The 18904-nt window shown below is 33.5% G+C and overlaps 1 long non-coding RNA gene across 1 annotated transcript in view; it reads right to left on the bottom strand.

Moving 5' to 3' along the window:
• LINC01266 (long intergenic non-protein coding RNA 1266) overlaps positions 1 to 9596 on the bottom strand; it is a 253911-nt gene extending 244315 nt beyond the window's left edge. Inside the window, exon 1 of the long non-coding RNA NR_110118.1 lies at positions 9518 to 9596. This is a non-coding gene — a long non-coding RNA (long intergenic non-protein coding RNA 1266). The remainder of the gene's footprint in view (positions 1 to 9517) is intronic.
• Positions 9597 to 18904: the final 9308 nt, after the last annotated feature.

Raw genomic sequence — 18904 nt, 5'->3', positions numbered from 1 at the left:
TTGTCTCAATCTTCCTTCTTGTTTTAGTCCATTCTCACACTGCTAAACGATACTACCCAAGACTGGATAATTTACAAAGAAAAGAGGTTTAATTGACTCACAGTTCCACATGGCTGGGGAGGCCTCAGGAAACTTACAATCATGGCAGAAGGAGAAGCAAGCACATCTTACATGGTGGCAGGTGAGGGAACATGAGCAAAAGCAGGGAAAACTGCCTTATAAAGCCATCAGATCTCATGACAATTCACTCACTATCACGAGAACAGCATAGGGGAAACCACCTCTACGATCCAATCGTCTCCCATCAGATTCCTCCAACCACACGTGAGGATTACCGGTATTACAATTCAAGAGGAGGTTTGGGTGGGGACACAGCCAAAAAGTAACACTTTTTATTTATTACAATTTTATATCATCCCTAGCAAATTGTTCCAAATTCTTGCCCATCCTTCATCAATATCTAAAATTGCACTTGTAATTGAGAATACTTGCTAAGGTTTTACTTGTACTTGCATATAGAATGGACTCAAGATATGAACGCTGTTTGTCATGATTTCATAAATGAAGACAAAACAGGTATTAAATATTCACCCTGTTTTCTGGATGCTCAGTTTCATAATAAATGCCTGCCTTGGTTCATGCATCAGTACTGTTTCCACTTGGCTTCCTTGGACATCACTTTCTCTTAACTTTTCTCCTACCTCTCTGGCCCTTTTCTCTTGAACACTCTTGATAATCCTACCTTATCTCCCTGCCCTCTTAAAATGTAAGTGCCTCAAGCTCTTGGTATTTCTCTTCCCCGTTTGTGCTTTAGTAACTCAGTATTTTCTAGAGGCTGGCAGCATCCACATATATCTCCAGATAAGACCTCTGCTAGAAAAGCTAGACTCATACATATTTGCCCCTTTGCTTTCTCCATTTGGATGTTGAATAACCATGTAGAAAATAACAAGTCCAAAACTCAGGTCCTGATTTTTCACCTTCAAATCAGCATCTCTCATATTCTTCCAACTCAGTAAATGACAGCTACATTCTGCCACATGCTAAAAACTCTTGGAGACACCTTCATTCAACCCTTTGTCTTGTATTCTACATGTAATTTATCAGGTAAAGCAGTTACCTGTACCTTCAAAATACAGTTAAACAAAATCCTACCCTTTTTCTTGGTCCTCCCTGCTATGATTCTGGTCCAACCCACTAAACTCTTTTGTCTGGATTATTAAAATAGTCTCCCTGATTCCTTTTTGCCACCCACAAAGCCAGAGAAATCCTGTTAAAACACAAGATTAATGCTGCATAATTCCTTTTCTCAAAATACTTTAAAGAGTGCTGATTTCAGTTACCTGGGTATGTGTAAGACACAATTCCAAAACAGACTGGCTTAAAAAAATATGTATCACTCCGCTCAAGGTCCTGGGAACCAACTAGACTCAGCTGGGTTGTGTTGGTTTGGGATCTGTCATGTGATTGTAGTCAGATGGAGGTCGAGGCTGAAGTCATCTTTATGCCTTCCACAATCACAGGTTTGCATGACACAACTACGTGAAGGCTGGAACAGCTGGGATTTATCTGGCATCTCCTGTCCTACTTGTGAGATTTTTCAATGTGGTTTCTCCAATTCAGTGGCCTCAAGGTAGCCATATACTTACATGGTAGTTGGTTTTCTCTAGAGGGAGGATACAAAGAAAACAGTGGAAGTTGTATGCTTTTTTATTAACTAGGCTTAGAGGTCGCATAGCATCATTTCTACCATAGTACATGTGTAGAAGAAGTCATAAGTCCAGCCAAAATGAAGGCAAGATGTAGAGACACCTCTCAATGGGAAGAAATCTAAAGAATATGCCACAGTTTTTTTAAAACTACCCTACACTTCATCTCAATTAAAGCAAAAGCCAAAATTTTCTCAATGGTCTGCAATGGGAAATTGTAGCAAATTTGACCACTGCTTGCTTTTTAAAATCAAGTTGGATTAGAACAGTCACATGTATTGGTTTACATACAATGATGGCTTTTGTATTATAATGCCAAAGTTGAGTAGTTGTGACAGAGATAATGTGGCCTGCAAAGCTGAACCTGTTTATAATCTGGCCCCTTAGAAGGCAAGTTTACTAACCCCTGGTCTGCAGTTTTGAACACACACACCCTGCTCCCCTATTTGCTCTGTGAATTCATCTCTCTAGTACTCTGTTCCTCACCGTATAGTTTAGCATATGTGCCACCTTGCTGTTCCCTCTGCCTAGCATGCTTTTCCTTCAGATATCCAGCTGGCTCATTTCTGCATCTCTTTCATGCATTTGCTCAAATTTCATCTTTTCAGTGAGTCTTTTTCTGAATGCTCAATTTAAAATTCACCCCTACTTCCCAAAACTCCTTCTCTGCCTTCTCTGAGTGATTTCCCCCCACTTATAATATTCTCATATGCTATTGATTTAACTTATTTATTTTATTTATAGTCTATTTTCCTCATTAAAATGCAAGCTCCGTTACATCAGGGATTGTTGTTTGTTTTGTTCTCTGATGCATCCCAGAGCCTACAACAGTGCTGACATGTAATAGGTCCTCAATAAACATTTGTTGAAGGGACAGAGGCATGCATGCAGTGACTAATGAAATAACACAAAATAAATATGTAAAATTCATAGGCAATATTATAAAATGAAATGTATTGGCTGTTTGGGGTTATATAAGTGGAACATAGAAGTGAATTAAAGCTTTAAGTAAGAGGGAAGATCCTGATGTTAGTATTGATTCCCTTTTCCCCACGATGAATGATGTTTTGAAGATCTTGATGCTAACATTAGTTTAAGCTCATTCAATACTGTCATAGGAGAGAGAAAATCGTTTGAGATCTTTGATATTAATATTCCAATCCCTCACCTCTGTCTGTTTGAACTCATCAATCACTTTGGGAATAAAACTGGAATAGTGTACAAATTCACGTTGAGGTGAGGGGTTTTAACATAGAAGATATTTTCTTCTTTCCCTTGATGTCTCAGAATAAAATGAGGAAACCAGAAGGAGAGAGAAACTGATTTTTGTATTTCAAATTTCTATTATTTATTATTTAAGAGTATATGATTTGGAGTCAGGGTAAAATTGAGTCCTCACCTCAACTCTGTAATTTCACAGCTATTTGTTCTTAGAAAAATTCCTCAATGTTTCAGATCCTCAAGTTCTTTCTCGTTGAGAAAATGAAGACGGTAATATCCATCTCATGCAATTTTAGGAAAATTAAATAAAGTTAGATATTTTGAAAAATGTACTAAATTTAGAACAGTACCTGGTACATATCTTCCCAGTAATGATAAACAGAATATTCTCCCACATCTATTTTCAATAGTAATGACCATAATAGACAGAAATTTTTCATTTACTTGCAATGACCTTAAAAAATTAAATTCAACATAATGCCACCTCTAGAAAGAAGTCCATTAATAGTGGACAAATGTCTACTAAATATAACTTACATAAAAAGAAGTAAGAGATAATAAAACAAATGGGGTGAAACACCAAGACAGTTAAAAGTATTTGTCTTTATGACTTGCCCATTTGAGCAGAAATTCTTTTCTGGATGTCAGAATGTAAGGAAAGTTTAGATGAAAAATTTCAGTGGTTCAATTAGTTATAGATTCAGAGCTTTTGTTTATTTGTTTTGTGCTCAGTTGGTTCTTGTGTTTGTAGACATCTCTCACATTACAAAAATAATAACAGAGAGAAAAGACTACGTTCTTCAAAACAAAAAGCTACTCAGTAGTGAGTGGCACAGAAACCAAATCTCATGGATTATTTAAATTCAGTCAAATGTTGTTTATTGATATCACTTATGTGTCAGATATTATGGGAAGCATTGAGGATAAAATAGTACATAAAATACACTTCTGTCTTTCTTAAAGTTCAATGATTTGTTGCCTAACTTTGAGAAATACTACCCTTCACCACAGAATAACAATTCACATCAGCATAACTAGGTCTTGGAGAAGTACTGCAATAAAGAAACTGTGTAACTTCCTTATCACTGAGTGTCTCAAACTTATTTGAGGAGAGTGCTTCTTTGTGTAACATCCACAACTAATATGCTATCTAACACATTCGTGTCCAATTTCATCATATCCTATCTCCATTGATTAGAGATCCTTCAAGTAACCCTGAGGTTATGTGCTTTACGTATTTGGCTTCTGACTAAGCATTGATTTAGAGATCAGTTTTCTCAGCAAAACTGATTTTGAAAACCACAAGCAAGAACTATAACCTTTGATCTTCACAGGCATATGTGAGGGAAACAAATGACTGGCATGAGGTTGTGCAGCTGGTGAATTTGAAACTCAACCATATGAGTAAAAACAATTTGAGTAAGACACAATGAATTTAAACTTCATTTATTCTCATTTTGAAATAATTTGCAAAAGTGTTAGGCTAAGGATTTATATTTTCATTACCTATGAGGAAATAAAGCAAGCAAATTTGGACCAAAACTACAAAAACTAAAGAATTCAAAGTATCATCAAGTGCTTTAAAAGTCACATTTTCAGTATTCTCATCATCACACAAACACTTAAATTGAAATGACAAATTATCTCATTCAGTGTGGCTGGTCAGAAGAGAGATTTGACTCAGAGACATTTGTTACTAGTTGTTATCTGTTATTATAGGAATTGCCACAATGAGACAAGCTCACTCATCATGGATTTCTATTGGTAAGAAGAAAAATAAGGGATTTTTGTGAGAAGACAGTGCTGTCCTTTTAATGTTAGCATCAAAAGGTCCAGGATGAAACTTAATTATTTTTATCTTTTCATACAACCATTTAGAGAGTTATCATGAATGAGCTGCCTTTTGAGGAGGGATCCCATTTTATAATCTAGTTAGCTTCTTTTCCCAAGAAATTGATTGACCTAAGTGCCATACTATTTTGAGATGATCAATTTGGATTGGAAATTTTTAGAAACATGTTATTTCTAATTTCTTGCTCCTTTCTCAGGTAGAAGCAGAATAGTAGCTCACTTGCATAATGCTTGGCACATGATTTGTGCTCAATAATGGAGAGTTGCCATTACCATTATTAATAAAAATGCATATAAAACATATAATAATATATTGTTATTATACACAAAGAGCATACTAGATACCATGCCTCCGGATAGAAGTAGTATTTCTTTCTTAGCATCCAAACTTGTACATTGTACCTTTTTCTGCCTTATTACCTATAATACTTTTTAAATTTTGTGTGTTTACTTTTCTGTCTCACAGAATACAATAAGCATTCCTTGTGGATAAAAATGTTATCTTTTATCTCTGTATCCTTAACTATATTCTACAAATGTTTGCTGTAAGAATTGACAAAAACAAATAAATAAATTGTTAAACTACATTTGTTTTTTTTTTAAAGATAGCATCTGTGTGAAGAACCTACTGAATTCAATATGCATAGTGTTTAAATGATGTTGCAACATGGCCGGCTTGGAGTCCTCATAGCGTGTCGAGTTCCAAATATTCACACATCTTACAGGGCATCTAGTTTTCCCCAGAGCAAGCACTCCAAGCAATAGGAAATGGGAGCAGACTCTGCTTAAAATGTAAACTTTCAGCTGTCACCAAGTCATTTCTACCACATTTTACTGATGAAGCAGTCACAGAGCTAACCCAGGTTCAAAGAGAGAAGCAATAAACCCCATCTTTTATGCAGAAAGTGAGAAAGACATTGCAGTCATCATTAATTACCCACAGACCATTTAATCTATATCCTCATTAATGACATTTTCTCAGCTTGACATACTCTTGGCTTTGACAATTAACAAAAACAGAAGAAATAGAAGAAAAAAACCAATATGGTATGCAGTACTCATAATTACATTTTCATTTGTGTTGCTATCCTTGATTACTATACATATAAGAAATTATCTCTCAAGGAAATAAATCATCCTTGTATTGCTTCTGGAGATGAAAATCAATGAGTTTACCTTTTGCTACAAATATAGCCACTCTTTTTTTTTTCTTGTAGACATTAAACACCAATTTGTGGAGACAGTTTAGCATATACAAAGGAATCTGAGCAGCATACCTGACTCAATATTAATAAATGAAGTTGAAACAGGACCTGTGATTGGTCTGTGATGACAGAAAGCAAATAGCTTTTCCTCCTGATACAACTAAAAGATTACCTTGCTAAGCATTTATTTCAAGGATTGGCAAAGAATGTGTTATAACACAGGTCTGTAGGCATAATGGAAGAAATGCCTTGAGCGTCGTTCAAAGGAAGGATAGAGAAAAAATATATATAGAATCAATGTATTTTAACAGTAACAGTCTTTTAATATTTATTAAGAATAAAATATTTTAATTTTAAAAAATCAATCTTTTTTTATTAAAATAGAAATTATAAGTCAAAAGTAGTGATGGATACATTATTTAGCAGAAAATTCTTCAGAGACCACAGGAAAATCCAGGTTGTTGGAGGGTTAATGTTGAGAAGTAAGAAAGGACGGAGCAGTGAATACATCAATTTAACCATAGGAAAAAAAATGTTTACTGCTGATGAATTAACTTGGAGGCCCTCTATCTAGAAGAGGGGCATTTTTTCCTTGCCTAATAAAAGGGAGTTTATAAAACTTATAGCATCATTGTAATTGAGAAATGTATTTTGAAAAATGGAACAGAATAATAGGCTTTTCATAGATTAGAATAGACCACAGTGTTTAAATATTACATGTGTTTATGTAGTTTTAAAGACATGGAAAAAGTGCATAGCAAAATTAAAGTTGACATAGAAACTATACTTTACAGATCAAACTTAGATCAGCTAGAATAGAAAGGCAAGGAGAGTCTGCAATGAGTTGATTAGCTCTGCTGCAGGAAATTGACCAACTGCAAGTGAACTACTGGGGGGATCGACGTTTTATGTGGATCTTTGTGAAGCACAAAACAAGATCAGCAAATCATAAAGAAACAAATAATGAAAGCTGACTTAGTTGGTTCAGGCTGCTATAACGAATTACTGGGTGGCTTAAACAACAGAAATGTATTTCTTACAGTTCTGGAGGCTGAAATTCTGAAAGCAGGGTGTCAGCATGGTTAGGTTCTGATGATCACCTTCTTCCACGGCTTCCTCACATGGTGGAAAAAGATAAAGAGGAAGCACACTCTATCCTGTGTCTTCTTATAAGGGCACTAATACCACTAATGAGTGCTCCACTCTCATGACCTAATTACCTGTAAAGGATCTACCTCCAAATGCCATCACATTGGGAATCAGGCTTTAACATGTAAATGTTGGGGGCATACAAGCATTCAGTTCATAATGAAAGCAAAAGAAACATTGAAAGGAATCAGCATTTTCTTATTCTTCTATCACTTAGCCTAAAAAGTAGGCTTGATTTTAAATACCAGAAAGCAACCAACTATTTATGCTTCAAAGTTATTTATAGTTTCAGGTACGTGTGTAGTCATGCATCACTTAATGACAGGGAAATGTTCTGAGAAATGAGTCCTTAGGTGATTTGTTGTGTGAACATCATAGAATGTACTTATGCTCTATGTATACCTGCATGATATAGCCTACTACACACCTAGGCTATGTGGTATAGAGCCTATTGCTCTTCGCTTTTAAGCCTGTATAGCTTGTGATTGTTCCAAATACTGCAGGCAATTGTAACACAACGGTAAGTATTTATGTATATAAACATGTCAAAATAAAAAATGTACAGTAATAATATGATATTACAACCTTATGGAACCACCATGGTATATGCAGACCATTATTGAACTAAATTATTATATAATGAATGACTGTATGCATATTTATGTATTAACACACTAGCTATGCATTTGTACAGATTGGCATTCAGTAAATTTTGTATGCTTTTTTCTGGGGTTTGGCAAACTATGGCCCTCAAATTACATCAAACCCACCTCCATATTCACAGCTAAAGTTTTATTGGAACAAAACCACATTCATTTTTTGATGTACTGTCTGGTTACTTTTATGTTACAATGGCAGAGTTAAGTGGTTATGGCAGAGAACATAATGTCCTCAAAGCCCAAAACATAGACTATCTGGCCCTTTACAGAAAGAGTTGATCAACTTTTGGTTTATTCCATAGAGCAAATATGGGACTCTCAACAAATCCCAATTAGTACCTATAACTACAATAATAGTAATAATTACAATAGTAGTAATAATTGTTATCAGTTATTAAATGCATACTTTGTGCCAAAATTAGACTAAGCTGAAAGAGCAGGGTCCTGTGATTTATAGCCTCATCAAAATCACATGAAACGAGGAAAGAATAGTTAGAAAATAGAATGCCTGTTGTTCAGAAGAAAAAAAGATCAATATCTACCATACTATTAATAAATACAAATGCTAGCCTGTCATGACTTGTTCTAATGAATGCCTAACCTCATCCAATATATGAAATTAAATTGGATAAAGTCTCATTAATACAAGAAGTGAATAGTATTTTTTCAGAGGCAAGCATTTGTTGATAATATGCTAAAGTTAGTTTGATTCTAGGAGGGGAGCCTCTATGTTGTGTTTCCTATTCTTTGTAACAATGAAACAAATAAACAAAACTCTATTTCAAATCAATAGTAATGCCAAATCAAACTGTGAAGTCTCCAGATTGGGATGCATACAAAAATGATCTGCTGTGGTAGAAATAATTTATTAAAAATTCTGTTTACATTCATCTTATCTCATCAATTTTAGTAGGTATTTTTAAATTATATATTAGAAAAATTGTGTACATATAAACAAATATAGTACTGAAGTTTACTTGCTCAAATATTATTACTTATAGAGATGTCCATCCAAAAATGTTTAGAAACTACTGACAAACTATAAGTAAATAACCTATCAAAGAGTTCTCAGAATCCCTCTAAGATCGTAACTGAGTATGTCTGTAGCATAATCCTTATTAATTTTGCTAGAAAACTGTTATGTTCAAATATAAATAAATATACTTATGTTTAAATACAGATACATCAATAAATGCAATGACTGTCATTTCATTCCTTCATAAAGCCTTTCATTCTCATCTCTTCCTTCTCTTTGCTGATCTTCAAATTCTGAAGCTTCTTTAATGGGATTCCTGTTAGCAAGTTCTCACCTTTCTGTGTCCTCCATACACAAATGTCTGTGGTTTCTTGATAATTATATTCCATGAACATATTAATCATACCTTTGCTCCTAATTTTATATACAAGTTGGAATCCAGACTAAGCTTTTTTATTTAAAAAAATTACAATCTCAAATCAATAAATGCTTCTGCCATATTTTTCTCTTTCATTTAAGCATATTGCTATAATTACACCTACTGTTCTTTTCTCACTAATTTATCACTCTTCTTCTACCTTCCTTTCTTTATTATCCATGTAAATTTTAACCTTTCTAAGATAGACTGATTTGTTTTTTTGCCATGTAGTAAATGATCCTCCTACTTCTAGTCAAATTCTCCACAGCATCTATCAGAGTCTAGTTGTTACTAAACAATGGTTGCAGTTTTGTGCTGTGGTGACTTACCAGAAAGAACGATGATTTCCTAGTGAAGTTCATCACTCCCAGTGCATGAGATAAGAGTTACATTTCAGCAAATGTGGACCTAAAAACAAAAGGTGAACCACTTCATCAGATGCTTAATAATAAAATTCAATGCCGTTTGCTCACAGATGTACTTTTTCAGCTAAACTTGGTCTCAGGATCCACATGTAGTTTCTCAGCGCTGTAACGCAGCTCTCATTTGTGCACATATGTGTTCACGTTAACAACATCATACTTTGGAGGTCCTTAACATAAAAGATGAAAGAATTCTTTAGAAGATAAAACTCTCAGTGTAGGACATCTGATTTTTAGTATTTTCTTTTCTTGTTAAGTCCTAAAACCATCAAATGATTGCAGTTCTCAATTTGCTTATAGTGAGGCTAGAAGATGATATGAGGTCTAAGCAATATTCTTAAAGGAAATTTGGGCCTCTGCTACGTTACATCATGCTCACACATCACTTTAGGAAAAGTTAAAAGAGCTATAACAAAAATATTTTATACTTTGATAAACATAAATTTTCAGAACTGAATTATAACTATTGCATTCCAAATGAATTTTCTGTATACATTACTGATTTTAACACCAAGGTCATGGTCATTTTAATGAAAATAAGTAAATAAATAAACACTAGCAGAAAAATATGGTCAGAAAAAAGGAGAATAAAACCTGCATCTGAATTTCAGTTGATAATGGGCTATTTAATAACTACCAGTACACAGCTCTGCAGGGAAAAAGGCAATAATTCATGTTAGATATATCCAGTACCTAAGGATAATCAACATGCTTTAAGGAAAATGAAGATAATATTTCTTTATGGAAAAGAGGTAAACGAACGTCTTTACATAATATGTTTAAAATTCTCTTTTTAGTATTCAGATTTTAATGAACTGCAGATCACTGCAATTCTTCATGTTAAATCACATCTGGGATTGTTCCTTAATCGAGTAAATTGGGTTAAAATATTGCATTTTTATTGCTAGCTTAATAGCTTAAAGAGATATTAAACGTTTAATTATTAACCTTGACATGAAAGAATTGGAGAGATTTCTTAGATGATTTAAGGATTTGAAAGTTCTCTCTTCTGAGTGAAGTTTATATGTTAGGATAAAGCAAATCTAACGAGCTATCTTGAAATGGGCATCTGACTAATTGAAAGAGACTAATAACAGAGCATACATATATATCCAATGTTACTTAAGGAAATCATTCATAGAAGAATAGATGCTTTATTTTAAAAATCAACTAATGGATGTTAAATATTAATAAAGTCATCATAACTGAATAACAGATAGGTTAGCCTAGTAATTTACTCATTCAAAAAATATTTACTGTACATTCATGATGTGGAAATCAGTATTCTAGGCACTAGCAAGACAGCAGGGAATTGGTTCTTATCAAACTTATACTCTACTAGAAATAGATGCATATGAATAGAGTTTTCAGAAGAGAAATTAAAGGTTGCAAGAAATATAAAGAATATAAAGAGTCACATATTAATAGGCAATATAGGCAATGGTATGCTGACAAATGTTTAATAACCAGCTCTCTAAAAGGAACAAAGCAAGCCGAGTTTTTGCCATTTTCTGTGATGAAAACATTCCCAACATGACTGATTTAAATATACTAATATGACATCACTCAATACATAGTTGGAAAGAGGTATACTGTAAGCCCTAGTGAGCTGTTATAAGACAGCATTGGCACACACACTATGACAAGATTACTTTAAGTTGTATACTCAGAAAAGGCCTCTCTGGGAAAGTGACACTTAAACTAAGATCTGAAAAACCAGAAAAAGTCGTGTGTGAAATCTTGAGGCATTACACCCTGAAGAGGGATAACAGCTAAAGTTCCCAAACCAGTGCAAGCCTGGATGTCGGAGGAACAAGAAGAAGGCCAATAAGTCTGGGGTGTACTACATAAAAGGAGGATATACAATGGGATTAGAAAAACAGTCAAAGCTTTTCATGCAGAACTTCGTAATATAGGGTATGAAATTTGGCAAAGATGTCACTGGAAGGTTTGTGAATCATGTTAATTGTATTGATTAAAACTTTTGCATTTACTCTATGCTGTCTATAGTAAAACAAAAAGCTATTACAGAAGGAGGAACAGACCTTGGCTTACTGATGATAAAAAGAATAGGAAAAAATCCTTAAAAACTAGGTTGAATAAGAGGTTAGAATTAGTAGGCATCTCAACATATTATTACAATTATGGCATCAAACTTAATACATAATTTGCTTTGCTTCATACAAATATATTTTTCTGCTTTTGTTTTCTATGGTCAATTACCACTGTCTGTCATGTTGTACTATTATCACTTTTAGAAAGTGATTCTATCATACAAAACCAACATAATCTAAAATGACTTCCTGAGATCATGACCCAAGAGCTTATATATAAAACAAATGTTTTTAAAATTGTGCCTATAATAGCACACAACAGCAAGTATTAGATTCCACAAACATAATATTTGGGAAATAAAATGTTATGGACTCCAAGAGAACTGTATATATTTCTAACTCTATTCAAAAATGTCCTGTAACTCTAGATAGAATTTCCCTGGGCCATAGAAAAGCACTGATGATATTAGTGTTTATTAGATCCATGAAGCTTGCTTTAAAAAATATATTTGAAACACTGATGTTCTGCTAATATGGCAAGAATATGGAGATCAGAAACAACAATGAAAAATAGACATTCCTTGTGGGTGGAAGAAAATAAAAACATTTATATTAACCAAGTCTAAGTGCAACAGCTCAATTAATACAAAACATTAATTTATTTTGGGCTTGGTTGTAAAATTAGTTTTAGATTGAGCTTATAAAGTAATTAGGCTAATACTGTCTCCTCTGAGAGGAACCTGGAACAGTGCTATACCATCTGTCCAGTTGATTGTCTAAAGAAAGAAACTGATGCATAAACAGAAAAAAAACCAATGGATTGTGATAATTTCTCAAAAAATGTATGATGAAGTGTTATAGCAGCAGAGTAGGAGCAGCACTTGAGATTTGAGAAGATCCTCAAAGAAGAATTTAGCCCATGTATTGAAAGATAAGTGGGAATTTGTCAATGAGAGGTGAAAGAAGGCATTCTGTGCATAGCTGTGATTTCCCAATGGCTAAGATATGAACTACTTGCAAGAATGAAGAAGAGTGATGATTAGAGAGTTTAAAAACAACTTGGATTCATATTATATGTCTTGGTAAAAATTTGATTTTTATCTCTCTTGGTCTTGGGAATCAGTAGAAGCCTTTATTTTTTTTCCCTTGAATAAGATTTTATTTTGAAATATTTTAAGATAAACAAGTTTTTAAAACAGTACAGAGATTCCCAAAGAAACTTGTAAGCGAAGAAGTTCATCCAAGCCAAAAAATTGATATAGGTATGCTATTAACTAGACTACAGATCATACTGTGATTTCATCTACTTTTCAGTCATCTTTTCTTCCCTTAGTATATAGTTCTATAAATTCCATGACATATATAGATTAGTGTATCACTACAATCAAGATAGAGTACTGTTCTATCAACATAAAGAAATTTATCTTTTAATAGTCACAACCCTCCACTTCCTCATACCATAACCCCTAATAACCACTGGTCTGTTCTCCATCACTACATTTCATCATATTTAGGCTTTTAAATAAATAGAATCACACAGTAAGTAACCTTTTGAGATAGGCTTTTTTCCCACTTAGCCTCAATATATATTCAAGTTATTGTGTCTATTAATAGCTTATTCTTTTTCATTTCTGAGTAGTATTCTGTTGTAATGATGTACCACAGTTTGTTTATTCATTCATTCATTGAACGACAATTGAGTTTTTCCAGATTAGGGCTATTACAAATAAAGTTCCTATGCATTTTAGTGTTCTGGTTTTTCGTGAATGTAAGTTTCCATTTCTCTGAGATAAACACTAAAGATTGTGATTTCTATGTCATGTGATAAAGATATGGTTAACTTTATAAAAGACTGCCAAACTGCTTTTCAGAATAAATGTATCGATTTACATTCCCACCACCAATGCAGGAGAGATCCAGTTGTTCCACATATTTACCAGCACTTGATATTGTCAGCATGGTTTTACTTTTCCCATTCTAGTAAGTGTATAGTGGCATGTCATTGTAGCTTTACTTTGCTTTTCTCTAATAGCCAATGATATTGCATCAAAAACCTTTTAAACCTTTAAAAATGATATTATGATATAATGGGTAGGTAACTTTGGGAACCATGTAGAGAATTTAACGAGATGTCCAGGAATGAAAGACTAAGGAACAACTGAGAGTAGGGACACAAGTCAGGATGTTCAGCTATAGGCCAGACAATAGATAAAGTTTGCCTGAAGTAAAGTATTGACAAAAGGCAAGGAGACGAGAGGAGAGGTTGGATTTGAGAAGCATTTGGAAGTCGATTCAAAAGTTTTAATGAACAGTTTATTGTGGGAATGAAAAAAGGAAGTTGTCCATGTCAGTTCTTAGGTTTTAAGCTTCAAAAAAGTATGTAGATAATGGCTATAGTAATCAAAATTAAGAATAATAGAGGGAAATAGTTTGAAGAGAGGAAATGACAGATATTTTTGGCCATATTAAAATTGAGGTATCTACAGGACATACCAAAATATCTAACTGAGTAGGAAAAATATTATTCAGAAAGGACATTTGGTTTATGAAGAATAAAGACCTATTGGATTAAGTGCAATGTTTTACTTAAAAGTAGTTTCCTACTCTTTTCAGGAATATTATTGGCAATTAATCTCTGACCTCTAAGCCAGTTCACATTAAAAATAAGACCACACCAAAAGACATTTTAGGTTGAGAAACTAATGTGAACAATTCATGGGGAGAAAATTGAAATACGGCAATATTCTATTGTACAGCTGTCTTGAAGGGGAATTTGAAGGCCATAACTGTCGAAGGATTTTCCTAACTTACAGAAGCCTGTGTACACTACCAGAAGAATTGATGTTTGCAATTCCACCCACTGTGTACTTTTTCATGATCAGAGAAATCATTCAGGACAACGCAGTTAGCAAACCATAACTCAAAATCGATAGACCCCCCCCCCCCGGCATTTTTGTTATTTCATGATAAGATAATGGCAATATATAAAATAAGCATAATACTAATAGTATATAAACCATAAAGTAAAATGTTTAACATATATTATTTTATTCAACCCTAAACATCCTCTATTATAACTTGGTGAGAGAAGTAGTAACATCTCCATGTTAAATATTAAAGAAACTTAAAACTAGAATAAATGCAAAGAACATGACACGCGGTATGGATGACCTTTTTTTCTGAAAACAGTTTAAATTCCTTTCCCCTATACCAGTATTAGACTGAGAAATGGAGTCTCTCCTGAGAACCATCTAAGTACTGGTATATCTGCTTGCATCACAAACACATGATTATAAGGCAAATGTAATCCATATTTATGTTGTTAAAAAAGATGAAAATCCATAAAGTACTGTGATCATATTTAGAGAATTTTCAATCAAATGATTCTGTCAATTCCTAAATATGCTGATAGCAACAAAGAAACAGATGTTTGGTTTTATTCCATTGCCAGTGATATAGGAAAAGAAAGCTATTAATAAGCATAAATTCTACTAAAGTTGAAAGACATGGAATATTCATATAAATGGAGTACATTTTACCACTTTTTATACTCAAGAAAATAACATGAAAAATAACTGTACAGGGTACTAGGCTTAATACCCGGATAGTGAAATAATCTGTACAACAAACCCCCATGACACAAGTTTACCTCTGCAACGAACCTGCACATGCACCCCAAACCTAAAATAAAAATTAAAAAAGAAAAAAATAGTTATATAGTAAAGAAAAAGTAGTAAGTGTCAGTGGGAGACTTCAAAATTATGAACAAAGTAAAAGAGGAACGAGGGTGGGGTGTCAGATCTAAATAAAAGAAATACAAAAAATAATAAACAACAAAATTTGCCAAAAATATCCATACTAGAGAAACTACTTTTTTAATAATCATGAAAAAAGCATGATTATATAAATAAAAGAAAAAAGCAATGACTACTAAAATAGAATATAAAACAATAAAGAAAATCTGTAGTAAACTAAGAAATTGTTGAGAAAAATATTATTGGTATTTTCAAAAGGCAAAATTGAAGTGGCAGTATTAAAAAAGGGTTGTTGCACATTGTGTATATTTAAAAGGCAAATTAGAAAAATGGCTTAATTACCTATGTAGCTTATTCCTGCAGAAGAAACATACCTCAAAAATAGAATGAGTCAACTCATGGCTAATAAATACATCAGGAGAAACAGGACATTCCAGCAATGAAAGAACCATCATTAAGGAAACAATTGAGGACAAACATCCTGACTAATGAAAAGCCCAATTCTTTGATACCGCACACAGCTCAATTCAGGAATGATATTCCAAAAAATAATCAAAGTGCCTTTAGAACTATTATCCATGCTTTTACTTTCAGAAGGCATTTTGTAGTTACAAAAGAAAGAACAGAGATATTTGTAATTGTATCTATAAGGATGCAAACTGCCCTCTGCCCTAAAATCTTTAATGACAGTACCACTGCTGTAAATATACGTAAACATACTTTAGACACATGCAAGTTTTTTGAGGTTATATCAATAACAGGTTTCATATAACAAACTAAAAATAAGCAAAAAAAAAATGGAAAAAGGGTATGTAACATGCATTTACTATAGTTGACATGCAAACTTAGAGTCCCTGCTTTAAAAAATCAACAATGAGGCTGGGCGCAGTGGCTCACTCCTATAATCCCAGCACTTTGGGAGGCCGAGGCAGGCAGATCACTTGAGGTCAGCAGTTCCAGACCAGCCTGGCCAGTATGTTGAAACCATGTCTCCACTAAAAATATAAAAATCAGCCAGGCGTGGTGGCAGGGGCCTGTAATCCCAGCTACTCGGGAGGCTGAGGCAGGAGAATCGCTTGAACCCAGGAGGCAGAGGTTGCAGTGAGCCGAGATCACACTACACACCACTACACTCCAGCCTGGGCGACAGAGAGAGGCTCCATCTCCCCAAAAAAAAAAAAAAAAAAAAAAATCAACTATGAAGTTCAACAATTGCAAAATGTTTAATCAAAAGAGTTTATCAAGAGAATGAAAAAGAATGTAGCTATTAGAATTTATAAAGCTATAAACTATATCAGTATAGAAAAAGATATATTGGAAGAAATAAAACAGTCGGTACTTTTAATGTATTCATTTTTTTCTCCCAATGTATCAAATATTGAATAAAAACATATATGCAGGAAATATGGTGCTATAATCAAATGGATACTCAATAAATACTATCAATATATTGTGGCTTGAGGTGATAAAAATATACAGACAGGTCAGTTTGGAACCATGCATAAAATTATTTATGAAAAATAAAAGCTCCATATTCATTTATTTAACAAAGATGTATAGACTATGTGCTTAACAAAATAAACACTGAAAGAAGCCATCTTCATGGAAATACAGGATTATATTGGAAAAAAAAGTCACAATGCTTTCTTTCCTGATTTATTAAGGAAAATTACAAAGATTTTGGAAAGACTCAATAAAATATATTTACTTCGTTAAAAAAACACAAACCTATGCATACTAGTAAGTAGAGTTGCTGCTTCTGTTGATTACGGAGACTACTGGGAGAAGGCAATCAAAACTAAGATATAATATGCCATTCTCTTGGAAGCCAGAGAAAAAGAAAACCACCAGAAACCTAGCCCTGGAATGTCACTGAATAGCTGTAGGATAGTGGCAAGGATGTCAGCATCTGTAACACTCGATTTTCTCTTCTGCAAAAATGAAACTATTAGTATTCCACCATATTGCAATTAATATCACTTGAGCTAATGTATACAAGCAGTATGAAATCCCACAGGATTCACATGTAAAATATTGGATTTTTTATATTTTAATATGTAAAATGTAAGTTGTTTCTTTTCTCTCTGATACGAAATGCAGTTTTCATTCCACAGTTTCACTCTCATACACTTAATAACTTTTGTTAACGTAACAATACAGTGTGAGAGTTCCTGGGGCTATGCCTGACCCAAAGCAGACACTTAGTAAAATGTCTGTGGAACCTAAATTTATTTTAGGATACAATTGGAATCTAAACTAAAAGAGTTTTCAAATTCAGAATCAGGCATATTTGCTGCAAAGCATTATGGGTCTCATCTCCATTTCCAAATCCACCAAGTCCATCCTTTCACGCATCGTGTTACTCAGGGATAAAGCACATCTAAGTGAAACAGAAGTTAAATTTGCTCTTTCATAACCCAGAGACATTAATTACAATGGAATAGCATGATAAACACCGTGAACGATATGGAGATTAATAGAAAAAATATGAAAAGAAAATGACAGCAGCTAGGAAGAAACAAAAAGGATGGGTGGAAATAAGGGAGGTTGGCCTCCAAAGGGCAAGTAAAGTAGAACTGAAATAAAACCTGGTGATTTTGATCTGCGTGTGTAATTAATATAGTTTCTGGTCGGGGGTGATGGGAGAAATGGGGATAAAGAAAAGCCCTGGGTAGCAACCTTCTTGCCTGAATTGTGAAGGCAACACGAATACACAGATCACGTCTTGGGAAAAATAAATGTGACCCCTTAAAATTTGCACCATATTATTGAAATCTCTTTGACACAAGTAACCATAGAAGACACAGGTAACATATGGGTTGCTCTTTATGTAGGGCTTTAGCAGTCTATTCAGTCTTTTACCATGTGACTACTTTGTATGTGGAAAAATTGTTACATAAACAAAATAGAAGCATTTTCTCTTTGATACCAAGAGTAGAGCTAAGACCAATAAATCAATATTAAGGGAAAATTTTACCTTAGATATAAGAAAATAATTTTCTAACAGCTCAAATTATACTCAGTTGTTGTTATTAACTAACAACCCTTATATCTGCATACTAATACTTGTAAAATCAAGATTAATTTGATATTCATTTCTGGTAGGGGACGGGGTTATGTCATTTTCCTACAGTCTTGGAGAGAAAATAATTTGTTAAATGCAATTTGCTAGCATCTATTAGAAATCTTGTAAAGGTTATATATTTTTAATTTCACTTAATATTTCTGCTTTTATTTTTCTACACATGACCATAAATATATATCTTCATGTATGCATGATGAAGCATGGTGAGTAACAGATTTTTTAATGGAATAAGCTATTATGGTACTTTCATTCTAGGAAATATTACGTAGTTCTTAATCAAAATGAGAGGGATATCTGTATAAAACCTAAGCTATTGTTAACAGAAAAAAAGCATGTAAACAAAATTATTAAATTATGGTTTTAATAAAATCCATATATATGAATTTGGACACGTGTATAC

The sequence above is a fragment of the Homo sapiens genome, chromosome 3 (assembly GCF_000001405.40).
Source record: "Homo sapiens chromosome 3, GRCh38.p14 Primary Assembly".
Lineage (NCBI taxonomy): Eukaryota > Metazoa > Chordata > Mammalia > Primates > Hominidae > Homo > Homo sapiens.
This window is presented reverse-complemented; position numbering and strand designations above follow the sequence as displayed.